General features: G+C 38.7%; 1 protein-coding gene across 2 annotated transcripts in view, besides 1 other annotated feature; it reads right to left on the reverse strand.

Moving 5' to 3' along the window:
* NOTCH2 (notch receptor 2) overlaps nucleotides 1-18,205 on the reverse strand; it is a 158,110-nt gene that overhangs the window by 64,247 nt on the left and 75,658 nt on the right. For both annotated transcript variants that reach the window (NM_024408.4, NM_001200001.2), the window contains exon 5: nucleotides 11,161-11,283. In NM_024408.4, coding sequence (NP_077719.2) covers nucleotides 11,161-11,283 — 123 coding nt within the window. The remainder of the gene's footprint in view (nucleotides 1-11,160; nucleotides 11,284-18,205) is intronic.
* Nucleotides 14,711-15,075: a silencer, noted in NCBI's record as "S9 fragment used in the reporter construct". NCBI's record gives its function as "represses activity of a beta-globin enhancer-driven SV40 promoter in transfected K562 erythroleukemia cells {active_cell/tissue: K562}" and the evidence as "EXISTENCE:reporter gene assay evidence [ECO:0000049][PMID:30886051]".

Here is an 18,205-nt window from a genome sequence, read left to right on the forward strand (position 1 = left end):
TTTATGAGCTGTAACACGCAGGGACACAAACAGCTCATTATGGCTCTCTCAAGGCAAGGGCCCCACCCACAAACCACTAATCTGATTTGGAGCTACAAGTGATGGGTAAAAAATAGAGGGGGACAACAAGAGAAAGAAAGAAAAGAAGAGAAAGGAATTGAAAAAAGTAAGGTGCTGAGCCTCGACTCTCATCCTTTCCAGTCATCTCTCAACTGTGAAGTCTGTGGGAAAAAGTCTGATCACATTACTGGTCCAGTTAAGGGTCAACTCTCATTGCAACAACAATCTCCACAAGAGGAACAAATAAAAAATGAGCTTGGCTGGCCCTTGCACTGAGTCTGCTACCTTCTCCTCTATGGCTGAGTCAAGAGAGCTCCATCTCCTATATACCTTTCCAACCAGCAGTCACCCAAGCCCCTGAGTTCTGGAGTTTCATCTCTTTCTGTGTCAGAGCAGATCATTCCTGGGACTTCTATCCTACAAAACCTCAGCTCCATACACAGGAGACTTTCTATCACGCTGCTGAAGTTGGAGCTGAAGAACAAAGAACAAGCTTGAGTGTCCCATCACCTGCTCGGAATAAAGTTGGGTGAAACATTCTGTATAAACACTGCTGTCTACAGGGCCTGCCTACTGAGAGGATGGTCTGGGAGTATAGATGTGGCTAAGGGGATAATGTAGTTGTGGAAAGGATATTCATACACAGAATAAATGCAAGAAATTCCTCCACTAATTCTAGACAGCATCATCTTTTTCAGGACTTCTCAAAGGCCTGGTTTCCCTGCATCATGACCAATGTATTTTCTAAAGAGCCGCCAGGATGATCTTAACATGTAAAGTAGAATGCGCCACTCGCTTGTTCAAATCCTTTGATGAATTATTTTGCATTTAGGATAAAATTCTAACACCTACCAGTGTTTTCTGCCTATCTCTTTAGGCTCTAACCATGAAATATCACTAGCTCCAGCCACTCTGGGCTTTTTTCATTTCTCAAAATGATCACATTCTTTCCCTCCTCAGTGGCTAGCACACGTTATTCCTTGTGCCTGGGATAGTCTTATCCTCACTCTCCCCAACTCCTACTCATTGTCTATATGGAAAATGTTACTTTCTCAAAGAGACCTTACTTGCTTGTCACTAAACACAATTAGTTCTGCCTATTAATATGCTCTCCAGATACATTCTATGTTTCCTGCAAGGCATTTAGTACAGTTCAAAATTTTATGGAGAATTATATTGTCTATGCCTGTGTTTCTCACTAGACTGTCAGTGCCATGAAGAAATGGGGGGTAGCTGTTTACCTCATCACTGAATCCCCAGCATGAAACACAATCCCAAGCTTAAATAAATATTCGTTAAATGAATGTTTATCTGCTTAAGGTTCTCTTATTTAAGTTATCCTAATCCCAAAATAATAATTATCTTTCAACTCACCCTTCTCATAGCAACAGTATCTCTATTCTGTTCCTACCCAAAGTGTCCGTCACCCTTGTCTACACCACCAGTTCACACGCAAACCCCTCATCCCAGTCCCCTTCCTGTGTCACTGAACTCTATCTCATTTGTATCACACCCAGATTCACCTTGCCTTTGCCCACTAATCCTTCAACTACGCCTCAAGGGCAACTCTACATTAAGGTGTACAACTTCCTTCTTTGACTGAAACCTGAGTTTTCCCTAAACACACCAGCCCAGTCAGCCCTCTGCGGTAGAGCTCCTGCAGTCCTCCTCTTCTAAACACTGCCACTGACAGGAAACTAGGGGAGAAAGAGCGGGTTTTCTTTTTATTCCCCAACGTCACTACTAACCTCAGCAGTAAAAACATATGCACTGAGTTATTTCTAGGTTCCAGATGATATGTGCTTTACATTGATTGTCAACTATAGTCTTCATATATAATTAGTCTAATTTTACAGATTTAGTACAAACTCGGTACACACTGAAGAAAAATACTAAAGTATCTTAGAAAGGTAAGAAGAGCTGTGAATTTGGAGATGAGGTTGGGCTGGGAACAACTGGAAAATTTAATGCTGTAATTCATTCATTCGTTTATCTAAAATATATATATGTACACATACACACACACGCACACAAACACAATGTGCCAGGCTCTGACTATACACAATGGGATTATAATGGTGAACAAAACAGCCATGGCTTCTGCCTGCAGAACTTACAAACAGCAGACTTATAACCAAACAAACAATGATGACACAGAGTGACAGGTGCTTTCATAGATACCTATTGCCTTGGGAGTACAGAGTAGGGAGAATAGAGAGGAACTAGAGAATGTAACTTTTAAGAGAAGGCCTGGGAGGAGCGTGCCAGGTTGTGAAAGAGGGGAGAAGTGTGTGAGGGAGTGTGTAGAGAAAGGGTGGAGTGCGGAGTATTTCAGGCAGAAAGCATAGGCTTGAGTTGAAGAGACAGCATGGTTCATTTGCGGCAATGAAAAAAAATTCTTGTGGTTGAATTATAAGAAATGCATTAGGGGAGTGAAGAGAGGTGTGGCTGGAGAGGGAGTTACATGCACAGCCTTGGGACTAAATCCAAAGACAAGGAGGACCCATTGAAGTGTTTCCAGCAAAGAAATGACTCGATCCAATGCATGTTTCAGAAAGTCCACTCTGCTGCAGTGAGGAGAATGGACTGAACTCCACCTCACCCCTCCAGGTCAACAAAAACTTCAAGAACTGCAGAGTCCAGGCTCCTGTGGCCACTATTGGCCACTATAGCAATGAGAAATACTGCAGTGCATCTGGGGCAGATTCCGGAGGCAGCAGCACTGAAAAGCATCCAGGCTCAGCCACTGGGTGGATTGCCATGGAGGCTGGGCCAGTACTGGGCATTCAGAAAGCTGACCCCCGCCACAGAGAAGAAAGTGGTGCCAAGCTTTGGTCTCCTGCTAGGAGGCCCCACTCTCTGGCTCTCCCCACCTTAGGCTGCTGGGTTGTTGAGCCAGTTTACATAAAAGCCCCTCACTGCACCAGGAGGAAAAACTAGCTGCAGCCAGGTTGAGAGTGAGGGGATCCAGGGGAACACCCACCTCCCCTGTCTATGGGCAGGCAGTTACTCTGCTCAGAATGAGTAAAATGGAAAAAAACAACATGGCACCTATTAAAAGATTCTACAACATAAAACATGGAGAATGTAATGCTTAAGATATTGATGAAAAGCACACTGGGAAAATTATTCACTTACAGGAGCTAATACATTTTAGAAAGAACTGCTCCTGTACACTCAAGACATTTAGACATGTTTACGTTCTACAAAGAAATAAAAAATAATATAGGACATTAGTCTCTGATCAAAGGGGCTGAGAGGCAGGCAGAAGAAGCTATAAAGGACTGACCTGACAATGAAGAAATATAAGTCAGTGTTATAAAGAAGAACCTTAAGAGAGCTCTCACAGAACACAAAACAAAAAATGAACAGATTAAAAATCAAGAGAGATTTTAGCTTTGCAGAAGAAAGAATGAAGACCTAATTGCAAAGATAATAGGTTTTCCTGACAACTCTACAACAAATGAAAAAGAAGGCAGGGAGCCCAGTGTTACTTATGAAAAAGAAGAAACACTCAACTGGCATTGCATTTCCCTAGAATAGTAACCAGAAGACACAAAGGAACAATGTCTAAGAATTTGATGAGATTAATTCGTGACCCAAGAATTTGATATCTAGTCAAGATACAACTTGTGTATGAAGGCAACTAAATCAAAAGACATTTTTTGACTAACCAAATGGGTCCAACATGTAACTCCTCTGAAATAAAATTATTCAAAGATACTTATTCAGCTAAAATGTTAATGAAAATAAGGAACTCAGAAATGAAAATGTTGTGACATAATTGCACTGGTAGTTAACACAAAACAAGTAGCACATACAACTAAGTTGAAAATATTATAAATTGGGTTATAAAATTGTAAATATCAAGAATAATTTTAAAGAATATGTATATGTTTATAAATTTGATAACAATAATATAAATATTGAAACCCAGATTATTTATACAAAGTCTAGTGAGTGAGTGAAAGCTATGAGAAGTATGCTAATTCCTCATCTTCGAGAGAAAGAAATCAATAAATACATTCTAATTTCTGACATTAAAAGTAGATAGATGAATTGAAGTCCTTTAAAAATTAAAAAAAAGACATAGTATAATATAAATTATCACACCATGGTCTGTCGTTCTCGTGGACCAATTTCCTCTTCCTAGAATGACAAGCATGTGGCTTATGTTCTCGCTCTTTCCTCTCCTGTCTCGCATGATATCAACATCTGGGTTGAGGACCAGTAAGGTCATCTGAGTCAAGAGTTCTTACTTTTCTCAACCTTACAGACCTCCGCATCCATTCCATATCACAAGCACGCTCACATTCTACACCTCTGTTACAAGACACTCATTGTTCTAGTCCAAGATCTCAAACTTGGTACTTCCACTCTCTGACTATAACTTTCCCATCTTCTTCCTTTCCCATTCCCAGCAGACATCTTACCTAAAGTATTCCCCACTAAAAACTGTAAGAGTAAACCCCTCCCAATAATCCACTTCATTAGCCAACGCCCTTTGAGCTGCCTTACTCTTAGTGTAGCCAAGCTCTATGGTCAATGAGATGAATAAAGTTTCTGTCTCCCATAACCCTGCGTTGTGTCTCCCTCGCTCTTCCTTTTCAGTTGTGCAAAATCTTACATAGTGATCTAAACCCATTTTGCCCCTTCCTTCTCCCCAAAGCCTACTTTTTCCTTTAACTTCCTCAATCTAGCTTCTTAGTCTTGTCTGTATTAAAACTGTATTTCAGAAAATTTCTAATGACTCAAATATTCTAATGAATATTTTGCAGTTATCATTTATATTTGAGTCTCCTGGTTGTCAGTTATTAATAACCATGGTTTGTTAAAATCAGTTCTGGGAATGTCAAAATAAGTAAGAGCAGTTTCCTGCCTTCCAGAGGCTGATAGTCTCTTAGGCAAGCTGAACAAATAACGCAGTAAGAGAAGTAAAATATTACAGGAGCTGCCACCAAGGCATGTGGAGTTGAGTTCAGGGCAAGCTTCTAAGGCTGTACCCTTTAACTTGAGGATGCTATCATGGCCGAGCTCTCTTCCCACCTCTCAAACCTCCCCTTTTCTCACTTTCCTTCTTTGGATCCCCTTCCTCGTCAATTTTCTGAAGTGTGGATGTTTCTCATACTTCGGGTCCAAATCCTCTGTTCTTATCACTCCATCCAATTTCCCTCACAGACTTGACACATTCCATGGTAACCCTGAGTCTCTCGTCCCTGCCTGTATTCTGAGCTCCTGGGTCTTACTGCTGCATGTTTTTCACTTGGAAAACTCATCTCCAACTTACCATCATTTCTACCCTATTTCTCCTTCTCTGTCAACAGTTCCCATCCATTACTCAGACTCAAAACAGAAGTTCACTCTTCTCGATCACCTTCCTTACCCCACCAAGTACTTAGATGCTTCCCCATTCCCACCATTGTTTCTTTCAAATTCACATTCACACACACCTTCTGCTTCCTAGTGTGGTTATGTGTGGACTTTCTTATGTCTTCCTAGTCAATTTTACCACTCTTAAAATAGGAATTTTTTCTTTGTGTCTCTTACAGTATCTAGCATAATATATTCCATGTAGTAGTTGTTCAATAAATATCTGTAAGTAGGTCCAATAGATAAATTATTGAACCTACTAACAACCGTTCCATGGGGGCTTAGAGAGCCATGAAGTTAAACTGGATCGTGCCTGTAACATAGCCAAGGCTACACCCTGAGTCATGGACTGCAGGGCAGGAAAGATCCTGCCTGCAGTCTCACCTCCTGCATGTGGGGCTAGACTATCCACTCGTCCTTGTTTCCACCAACAGCGCCACTAATCAACTCTGGGACATCTGGGGCAAGGGTGCTTCAGGTTAGCACTGTGGCAGTCTGCCCAACTGATAGGAAACCGAATTTGGGGTGAGGAGGTAGAATTCAGAAAACAGGCTTATTATACTTCTCACAATCAGGCTTACAGCAGAAAAATTGAAATGTGAGACATATTTTCCCATTCCTCCATGTAGAATATAAAAGAGAGCAGCTTTGAAATACCATATATAATTAAGTAGTATTCTCTCTCAATCAAAAAACCTCCATCCCTATAGTCCTAAAAAAAAAAAAGTAGAAAAATGGTTGTGAGAAAAGCCTTACTCTAGAGAATAATTCATCACCAGCTAGAGGCTAGACTGAGACAGGAAGATCTAGCTCAAAATAAAAGCACCATCATGAAAATCTCCATTCCCAGACACAAGGAGCTCATGCACCACCTCTGGCAAATGTACTTGCCAACTCACATCAAACATTTTTACTGAATTGGGAGCACTGACAGCAATGAAAACCTCCCCCAGCTCTTGAGGCTCATCATGCTGTAAAGGAGAGCTGAGAGAAAGTGTGGTCAGTTTTCTTTGACTCATATCCACCTAACTTCCATTGTTCACTTCTGCTTCATGTCCCAGAGCACTATTCCAAGCCCATGCTGAAATTATATTTCTGGATTAATAACAAGCACAAGAAAATAAATCACATCTGCCCCAGAAGTGAGCCCAAAGTCAAAAGCAGCCACAGAGAGGAATTTGTGAGTTGAGCTTAGGGTCAACTTTAATTCTGAAGGAAATGAACCTTTAAAAAGAAAATTCAAATAACAGTCTATGTAGACAAAACATTAATCTACACTGCTCTAATAAATTTTGGGCCCTTTAAAACCCTTTTTTCCTTAAATGGATATCTGCCAGAGCAGAACTTCTCTGATAAGATGGCCTGAGGCCAAATACAGTATAATAAAGACGTTTGTGCTCTATCTTCATCCAACCATCAGGTCTACTTCTATTTCCTAAAGGAATATCCAGTATTCAGGCTTATCCCTATAAGACACTTCCCTATAAAGAAGTAAATCATCTCCCCACACCCACTCCCTAAGACCAATTTCTTTTTTCCATCTGAGCTTAAGCTAGTCCACAAGAGTGGTAGTTTTTGAAGGCACAAACAAACACTAATTAGACAGCCACAGTAGGTAAAAACGCCTGTAGTGGGGTATATAACACAGTTCTGCCCACAGGCCATGGGGAAACCATCTATTCCTCTACTTCAGGGCTAGAACAGATGCTTCTACAAAGCAGCAGCAATGGTAATACCTACAGACCATCTTTGCATCTGAAGTAATGCTGTCCAACTGAAATATAATGAGAGTAACAGATATAATTTCAAATTTTCCAGTGGCTACTAAAATATTTAATGGTAAAAAGGAATAGGGGAAATTAATTTTAATATTATGTTATATTTAATTCAATGTACCAAAATGTATTATTTCAGCATCTAATCAATATTTAAACATTATTAAAAAGATATCTTTTTTTCCATATGAAGTTCTTTTTTTTTTTTTGAGACAGGTTCTTGGTCTCACTCTGTCCCCTAGGGTGGAATGTGCAGTGGCGTGATTAGCCTCCCAAGTGACCAGGACTACAGGTGCACGCCACCACACCCAGCTAATTTTGTATTTTTTGTAGAGACAGGGTTTTGCCATGTTACGCAGGCTGTTCTCAAACTCCTGGGCCCAAGAGATCCATTCATCTCAGTTTCCCAAAGTGCTGGGATTAGAGGCATGAGCCACTGTGCCCGGCCATACTAAGTCTTCAAAATCAGTTATTTGACAATTACAACACATCTCAATTCACATTAGCCATATTTCAGATGCTCAATAGCAAGATGAAACCAGGGGCCACCATATAGAATAGGATGAATTTAGAATGTTTAGCATAATAGCTGTTGGCAGAACAAATGAAAAAATAAACTTTTTATTGCATTTTTGATTGTTTCAATATCCCAAGAAAGAGATAATAGCAAATGAAGGCTTCTGAGAAAAGGAGGCTGACAAATTTACCCTAAATCAAACCATGAATAGAGCTGGAATTTATGCTCATCTTGAAGTGTAGAACTTGCTACAAAACACCAAGCCTTTTATGTATATGTAGTTACAAAACAAAGCCGTAACTATCAGGTTCTTCTCATTAAAAGCATGGCAAATTTCCAAATCTCCATTTATTTAAAATTAATGCCTATCTTTTTTCAGCCATATAGTCTTATCCATTCTTTTTCAAATAGCTGGCAACTTCATTTCCTTCATTTTCTCACCTCACTACTCCAACCCCTCCTTTTTCATTTTGTCAAAAGCCAGACCAAATAGTTAATGCTTCAAGTCTACAGGTGGAAATTGTAAAAGGAATTCTGAACAAAGTTGCAATAGGCTATTAGGTATAGTGAAAAAGCATCAGACTGAATCTAAAGCATACACATAATGTTAACTTCTAACCTCAAAATAACCAGCTAGGTTCTTAAAAAGGGAAAACACATGGAGTAAATCACCAAATCTCAGGATAATGAAATTTTCAGTCTATTAAAAAACACCCCAAGTTCTTAAAATAAAACAAGATAATTTACAAAATCAATTTTATATAGAAAAAAGACTACAGATTTGAGCAAAGATTTGGAGTTCAACAAGCCTAGATTCAAACCCTAACCCAACCACTACGGGTCTTGGGCAAATTATTTAACCCTTTTGAATACGCATCATCATCTGAAAAAAGGATATTTAAACTCTATCTCTAATACAGTTATTGCAAAGATTACACAGATAAAACATTGTAATTAGCACAGTATTTGGATGCTAATAAACATTAGTTAACTCCTACTAGATTCCTGCTCCATTCACTTCTTTAATTTGTGTAACACAGAAAAGACTAATCTGAATTTATACATCTAATATCAGTAGAAACAGAAGCCCTATGACACAAAATTTTCCTTCTGTTTTTCTCTTTACAATAGGATAGGGGCTGGGATGGTAAATAGCTCAGCTACATGCTACTGAGAACAAAGGTCTGTAAGGAGTGCTAGTAACTGCTGTCATCAATAGTCCAACCGCCCCCATAACTCGGTACATCCCTCACATCAAGCATATAATAATATCAATACAAACGTGGTAAGTGTTATTACAGGAGAATACATGGGGTACTAAGGGAGTCCAGAGTAGAACATTTAGCTCAGCCTGGAGCAAGATCAGGGAAGCCTTCCTGAAGCAGGTAACCACTTGATCTGAGTCAGGCATGCCAAAAATGATGAGAAAAATGGGGGAGGAGTGGAGAAGGAAACCCTAGAGAAAAGGAATGGTGTCAATGAAGACACAGGATGTGAAGCACTATGCAGTATGTACAGGAAAACTGTGAGCAGAGAACTGCTAGGGTATGCTGCTAGATGCATGAGAAGGAGACTGGGGAAGCAGACAGAGCTGAAGCCATGAAAGGCTTCATATAACAGAAGAAGGATCTTAGACTTTCTCCTGTTGATGATGGGCAGGGCAAAAACAAGGCTTCTCACTGGGAATCAAAGAATTGGCATGAGTGAAGAAAACCTGTGATGAATAACAAAAAAAAAACTGAAGGTCACTCTAAATGACAGACAGCAAATCAAAAGAAATAAAACTGCCACATTAAACTTATCCATGATCTCCACCACCCTTTTTGGAAAATATAAAAACGGAAACATCTTATAAAGACTTCTAGCGAAAAGAGGCATTTATTAAATGTCCTGGGATAAGAAATTTGAATAAAAAAATCATTTCACTGGGGAAGTTTTCCCCAAGAGCAGGCCTTCCTAATTAATATCAAAGCAAGAAACCAAGTGTAGTATCGAACAAAAACCAGCAACAATATTACAATGTTGTTTAATCTTCACTGGCATCAGAAGCCTCAGTACTACACAGTTACTGTCTCACAGAGCAAGGGAGAGATCAGAATGTGGTCAAGTTCTTAACAAGTATCTCATCCTGTCCAATACTGTAAGGATCATTAAAAAGAGAAAAAAAACACAAATTTTTCCAGTTACTATATGTCATGTAATTAACTTTACAGTAATTTTTTAAGTTGAAAAAATAGCCTCTGAAAAGTCTATCATAGAAAAATGGCAAAAACTAGAAGAGACAATGTCACAAAAAGTACAGAGGGTTAGAAGTGAAGTTCTAGGATCAAGACACCATGAAGAAATTCTAGGAGAAGTCCCAATTCTAGGAAAACCTGGTGGGAAAGTATTAAAAGGGACAGTTTGGGAATTAAAAGCAGAAATGTTTGGCCTCCCCAGTAAGTCCTGTGATTGAGTTTTTAAATGCTTTTCATCTTTTTCTATTCATAGTCTACAGCTCTAAAGAGTATTGTAAATAATTAGATGCTACAGATAAGGAAAAGTAATTCAGAGACACTAAAGAATACCAGGTAGTAATGGCTGCACTTCAACATTAAGATTCTTTGTAGGAGATAGCCCACTACTGGTACTGTAATTTTTTCTTATAATACTAACTTCCTGTTGGGTTTCCACATTAAATTAATTTCTCTCAAAAAGGCCCAGCTCTTAGTCCCTTAATCAGTTCTTAATTGTCTCTACTTTCAGTAGATAAACAGACATAAAGAGAAATTAGAACCAAATGTCTGCGTAAATCACTCAACCTGCCTAAGACTACATGAGAAACTTCCAAGAGGCTGTAAAATTAAGCAAGACTACCCTTCTAATGTTAGAGGCAGAAAAAACTATTTTTGTTCGTGTACAAAAAGGGATAGAAGAAAAAAACAAATGTAGGATGCGTATCATAAAAATAATGTCATTAAGAGTACCTGCCTAACACTTTGCCTAGTTATAGAACATGACATTAAGATGGGACAGATCTCTGTCCGTGAACAAATAGGCTCTGAACTCTGGTAGCCTGTACAATTTATTTTAGCATTTCAGGAAATTTTTCCTCTTTAATATTTATTAAGCATCTACTATGTTCCAGGTAATGTCCTGCTTTTCCCAGATAATAAGCTTACAGTAGTGCTCTTCTCTCATATCTGCCACAGCATCTAGCATGGTGCTGGGTTCAGAGTTGCTGCCCAATAATACCTGTGAAAATATGTCTTTGAGTGAACATAGGAAAATGTATGAGGTTAGTACAATAAGCAATGATCTAGCATGGAGATCCTGCTCAGTTCACATACTGGTTCCAGAGCAGGCCTAAGATATTTGTTACTGATATTTTAAAAAAACAGTCTGCCTCTGGTTACCAATCCATATCCCATTCTGGTGGATTCTCCACACTGTACATACCTGTCCATTGTGGGGGACAGCGGCAGTTGTAAGTGTTGACCCCATCCACACAAACCCCTCCATTCTGACACCTGTGGTTAGGGCAGTCATCAATATTCCTCTCACAGGTGCTCCCTTCAAAACCTGGTAAATGAAGAACAAATGAAAATGATGAAATCTCATACAGAAGAAACGACCTGCTCTGTTCCCACAGAACATGGTTATTAGAATAGACCCGCTTCATGACTTCAGTTCAACAGCTGCTCACCCAGGACTCACCATATGAAAAATCCCCAATTCTCTGTCTTCTCTGGCCTCAAGCATAGCTAGACAGTGAAAGTGACTCATTGTGCCAATGGCATGCCTTCATAGTTACCTCACAAGTATTTCAAAATGTTTTCATGAAATAAAATCCCAGGGATGATAAATGTCTACTTGGGACAGAGATATTCAAGGGTTCTAAAAAAACAGGGTATTGGATTTTCCCCAGCTCCATACCAGACTAATGGGAAGAACAGATAAAATATTACCTAATTAAATTTAAGTTCCTTTTATTTTTTTTCTTTGAATGATTGCTAGGCGGCCTCCAAGCCAGGTGGGGAAGGGAGTGGGGGAGGATATAGGAAAAATATTGAACTTAAAGTATGAAGATATGGATCAAGTCCCAATCTCACCACCTGCAAGCTATTCGTACATGGTAAGCTAAAGTTCTGCATCAACTTCCTCACCTGTAAAAAATGAGGCTAATTCCACTTGCCTATCCTGTCTTTCTAATTATAAGTGCCACATCATGAGTAAAGTGCTATACAAATGTTAAAAGGTATCTGAAAATTGGGTGGCATTATTACTAACTAAGCTTACCAGCACTTCAAATTCATCAGGCTCTTCTCTAAACTTACAGCATTGCTTCCTTCCTCTTGACTTTTTCTTTTATGAAAAATGAAACTAGTACACCAAACTTCACTCTAACTGCCCACAGTGTGGTCCTTTGTAGTTTATATGTTGGGCCTCTTACTTTCTCTTTCCTTGCTACCAAACTCCTGAGCTAATTAAATAGAAGACTACCAGCTTCTATTCTAAACATTCTCCTATTTGAAATATAGTATGATTACATATTTGGCTTCCTCGAAATATCCCTTAAGGTTCCTCTCTCTCACTCAAAATACTTACTGGGACTTACATTAGGCACTGGTGATACAGCAGTGAGTCCCTGCTTTTGTGGCATTTACAGCCTTGTGAGTGGGACACACATCAATCACACTTTGCTTTATTCCTTACCATAAGTTACTGTGGCATTCTACATCTGCTCTGCTACACTGGAACATGGCTGATTTCTCTAAATACAATGGCAGTCATATAAATAAGTATAAACTGAGTGACCAAAAACATTAGCCAAAAATCACTCCATGGAAGACAGAAATCACTGAAGGCTTTATTGAAGGAAATTATATTTCTCCAAGTATTTGGTACTCAGTCCATTCAAGCAGATGAATCACTGAAGAAGCCTGAAAAAGACTATGAAAATTTACTCAAATTTCAAAAATGTATCATATTACTCATATTTCATATTATTCATACAGAAATATGAGTCTTACAAATAGACCAATGAGCCAGAAAATGATGAGCCATTGAAGCCCACCCCTACAGAATCTATGGGATCTACTAGGTCCTTGAGTAAGAACTAGGGTCTTTGCCCCTAGTCTGGTGCTCTTGATGAAGATATTCTTTGGAAAATTTAAAGACATAGTTTTAGATTGTTGGGGAAAATGGGGCCCCTGGCCTACAACTGCTAAACTTGAGAGGTCTGGTGGTGTAGTAGAAGGTCAATGATCATCCTCCCCTAACTCGATCTCTCTGATGAGTAAGACTAAATACAGTTGACTAGGGTGTCAGGGAGGTAGCGAAGCCCTTGTAGCTCAACTATAAGGAATAGAAACTGTGACTCTAACTTTATATTAGCCAATGTTACAACTAACTGAATTCACCAACCACAGACAAGAAAGCAGAAGCATTTCAGCAGAACCACAACAGAAAAGAAATAAAGTGTTTTCTTTTTATAACTGATTGACTATTGTTGAGGTACTTTTTCCCTGTCAATAGGTAGATAGGTAGGTAAGAAGGGAGGTAGGTAAGACAGTTATTTCATAGCTAAAAGCATGGCTTCTGGGGCCAAACTGTCTAGGCTCAACTCTCAGCATTGCCATGCAATAGCTGAGTGAATATGGGCAATATACTTAAACTTTCTTGGGGAATTAACAGGACCCACCTTAAATGGTTATTGTAAAGATTAAACGAATTAGATAAAAACAGCACTTAATTCAACAAATGGTCCTGGGACAACTAAATATCCACATGTAAAAGAATCAAGTTAGACTCCCTCCTCGCACATAAAAATTAACTCAAAATGGATCGGAGACCTAAAGGTAGGTGGTAAAATTATAAATCACTTAGAAATAGTAAATCTTTGTAATGTGGGATAAGCAAAGTTTTCACAAATATGACTGAAAGCACAAGCAACAAAAGAAAAAATAAATTGTATTCCATCAAGTTAAAAACATTTGGGCTGAAAAGTATATCATCAAGAATGTGAAAAGACAGTATATAGAATGACAGAAAATATCTGCAAATCATATTATCTGATAAGAGACTTGTATTTAGGATATATTTTTTAAAAACTATTACAGTTCAATATTAAAAAGATAAACCAATTATAAAGTAGGTAAAGGATCTGAACAGACATTCTCCAAAGAAGATACATAATGACTAATAAGTATATGAAAAGATGTTGAAAATCATCAACCATCAGGGAAATGTAAATCAAAACCACAATGAGATAAACACTTCACATTACAGACGAATATAATAAAAAAGACAGACAATAACAACTGTTGATGAGGATGTGGAGAAACTGGAATTCTCATACACTGCTGGTTGGAATGTAAAATAATGTACCCACTTCAGAACAGTCTGACAGTTCCTGAAAAGGTTAAACAGCATTACCATCTGACGCAGCAATTCTGCTCCTAGGTATATATCCAAGAAATATGAAGATAAATGTCTACCAAAAAATTATACAAGAATGTTCATAACAGAATTATTGATAATACTCAAAAAGTAGAAGCAACTCAAATGTCAATCAACTGATGATGGATAAATAAAATGATAAAATGTGGTAAATCCATATGATAAAATATTATTCAGCCATAAAAAGGCACAGAGTACTGATAAATGCTACCACATCAATGAACTTTGAAAACCTCATGCTAAGTGAAAGAAGCTGTCATAAATTACTACATGCTGCATGTTTCCATTTGTATGAAATGTCCAGAAGAGGCAAATAAAGACAGAAAGTAGACTAGTAGTTGCCTAGGGCTGGGAGGGAGTTAGGAGGAATGGAGAGTAATTGATAATGGGTAAAGGGTTTCTTCTGATGTATAAAAATATTCTAGAATTGACTGTGGTGATGGTTACTCCTATCTACTAAAATTACTGAATTGTGTACTTTTTTAAGAAGTAAATTGTATGGTATATAAATTATATCTCAAAGCTATTGTATTAAGGGAAAAAGCACTAAACACAGTGCCTTACACATATTAGCTAATATTATTATTTGTCAGTGGTATTATAGCACTTGTTAGAGATTGTCTACTCTAATCCTTTTATGTTACAGATGAGGAAGTTGAGAGCCACATGGCTGACTTGACCAAGATTAAACGGCTAGTAAGTAGGAATAAGTACTGAAACAGAAACTTTACCCAATTGCAGTCCATATGTTTTCTGGGATCCCGGAGTTCCCTTTCAACAATGTAAAATACAAACTTAGGTCAAAAGTTCCCATGTCTGAGAAGACTCAAGCCAAATCAGTTCTCCTCCAAAGTTGACAGGATTTATGCTTTAAAAATAGAGATACAGAATTCTCTTTGGAAAGATCTACCAAATTCCTGTAAGAAACAGTCTACCCAAAGTAGGGGAAAGGCTATATGAAAAGTTACAAGGCACTTCTTAAAAATATATCTTAGGTTTTTAGGGAAAGGTAAACAGACAAGTTTCCAGACCCGTGGGTGGAATGGATGTAGCAGATTCACTGAGAGGCTCACAGTGCCGTACTAAAGGGAGTCTACTGCTTAAAGCCAATTCACATCCTTAAAAGGTCAAATGGAGAGAAATTAAACTTGGGAGAAGCATTTTAAGACTGTGCTGTTACAAAACCTCGGGCCACTTAACTGATTAATCATGGCAATGAGGGCAGGGACCAGAAAAGAGTCTTTAGAACCTGTCATCCCCACACAGAAGAGCAACTTTCAGGGAAACACCCTTATCTTTCCATTTTCAGACCCCGGGAGGTGTGAGGGTGGAAAGCCTAGGTAGAGAAGAGAGCAGAAAGGAGATGAGATGACACAACCAGGATTCTCCGAAGCTGGGCTTGAAGTCCTCAAGAAAAACTCCCATGAACAAGGAAGGAAGAGTGAAGAAAAAAACAGGGATACCTGGAACTGGACAAAAGTAAAAAGATAGAAGGATACTTTTTTTCCCCCAGAAGAAGTCTGTCACAAAAGCAAACCTGCAAATATACGATCAGTATAACACCCAAGAAAATGACACATGCGGCCAGGCATGGTGGCTCATGCCTGGAATCCCAGCACTTTGAGAAGCCGAGGCAGGTGGATCACCTGAGATCAGGAGTTCGAGGCCAACCTGACCAACATGGTGAAACCCCATCTCTACTAAAAATACAAAAATTAGCTGAGCATGGTGGCAGGCACCTGTAGTCCCAGCTACTTGGAAGGCTGAGACATGAGAATAGCTTGAACCCGGGAGGTGGAGGTTGCAGTGAGCCGAGATAGCGCCATTGCACTCCAGCCTGGGAGAAAGAGCGATGCTCCGTCTCAAAAAAAAAAAAAAAAAGAAAAGAAAAGAAAAGAAAATGACGCATGCCCCCAAGTGTGAGAATGCAAGAGGGAATCCCTGACCTATCCCTATCCAACCAGTTTTCTTGGCACACAACTTCCATTCTCTGAATGAGCCCAGATTAACTCACTGACCCCTGTGCCACGTATCGCCCACTCCATCACCCGCCCAGGCTCACTGCTTCCACCTGCGTCCCTTCATATCTCCCTACTGACCTCCACTTTTTTCTAACTTTGTCACCAAAGAAGTCACAGAAATAAATAGGAGGATTCAAAAAGAATAATTTCAGTACATTTAAAAAATTGTAGAATATAGGATTCTCATCTATGTTTATCACGTTCAATTCATTCATTTTTCAAATTTTCATTGTGGCACCATTTTATGACAGGCACTATGCTGGGGATGCTGGCGACTAGGGTAGGGAGTTAAAATGAGAGTGTCTACTTGGAAAGATGAACAGATAAATAATCACCGTGATAAGTGCTGTGCTAGAGATATGCAGATGTCAAAAGACCTTAGAAGGTCTACAATCCACTTGGAGGGTAGGGAATATAGAAGGCATTTCAGTGAAATAGGGTGCCTTTGACAAATCATTAAGAATGAGTTCTACATTAAAAAGGGGAAGAGAGGGTGATAGCTGAGGAGGCAGCATAGGCAAGAACATCCAGCATGAAAGAACAGTGAGGGACATCAGGAACATCTTTCAGGAACATCAGGTAAAACAGACTTAGGGCCCAAGTCAAAGGAGCTAAAATAATACACCCTGGAAAGTGGTATGATCATTTCTGCATCTGCTTCAGAGAAACCTGCCAAAATATGATTAGCATAATACCCAAGAGAACATCACATTCCCCATGTGTGAAAATGCAAGAGGGAATTATTTCTAATAGTTCATAAGCTCAGCAACAACAGAGTAGACACAAAAGCCACAGAATGTGCTTAGGCTTTACTTTAATGATATAGGGATATCATATATCATCAGCCTGTGGAGTACAGAGGTAGTTTACAAAGGATAAACCTTCATTGTTTGGAAAGGAAAGATCAGAGAGCTCTTTATGAAGTTTAAACAAAATCAGAGAAATAAAGAGATGTGGGAAAGAAAGAAAAAAAAGAAAGTACATTGAGGACAGTCCAATCTAACTGTGAACTCATAAGGGACAGCCAGTAAATTCAAAACAGCCTACTGTTTTTTGATTACTTGTGCTACTCTATTAAAATAGCCACAAACACAAAACTAGTCTACCTCTTTCTCTCCCCATTATTGGCCCTAACCCAAAAATAGTGGGAGTAAATGATTTAATAATTTATTTTCATGCTCCATTTTGTTCTTAAGTTAAAATTACTGTGGTTGGTGCCCCTCCTTTAGCTTCTGCTAAAGACTTTACATAATGAAAGCTCATGAAGTGTCTGGATTACTAACAGTTACTTATCCAAAAAGATGAGACATGGTTCATTGATTTGATTCAATTAGTTCTCTCTTGAAGATATTTTTCTCCTCCCTCTGTGAAGAAACATTTCTTTCTGTGTCATACAAGACGAGTCATTTTTGTAGTTTTAATTCCCTCTTGAGTCCTACAATAATACTAAAATACTCACAGTGACTACAGTATCCTTTGCAGGGAAAAAATTGTAAATTAACCATTTAAATATAGTCACTAAGTTATGTGGCATTCACTGACTCAGAGTTGAAAAAGACTCCAAAATTCTTATCCAGTATTAGAGTATACAAGGACAAAAGGAGAGGCCAAACTAAGTCTAGGACGCACAATACAAAGAAGAAAATGAGAAGACCAAAGTTACAGTCTCAATACTATGACATGATACTAAACCATACAGTCAGTCAGCCAATATATATTTGCGGGCCTAGTATATACTGGGCACTGTTTGTAGGTGTTTGGGTTACATCAGTAAACAAAAACAAAGATACTAGTTTTCATTCTGGAGAGGGTAAGAGGCAGTAGAATTTGGAAAAGACAGACAATAAACAATAGACATAATGAAGTAAATTATATAGTATAAATTATATAGTAAGAAGATAAGAGTTACAGAAAAAGAAAACAAAAAGTAGACCAGGGTTAGTAATTAAGGGGGTGGGGGACAGTTACAATTTTAAATAGGGTGGTTAGAGTAACCCTCAATTAGAAGTGCCAAGACGTGA

Source organism: Homo sapiens, chromosome 1, assembly GCF_000001405.40.
Source record: "Homo sapiens chromosome 1, GRCh38.p14 Primary Assembly".
In the NCBI taxonomy this organism is placed as follows: Eukaryota; Metazoa; Chordata; class Mammalia; order Primates; family Hominidae; genus Homo; species Homo sapiens.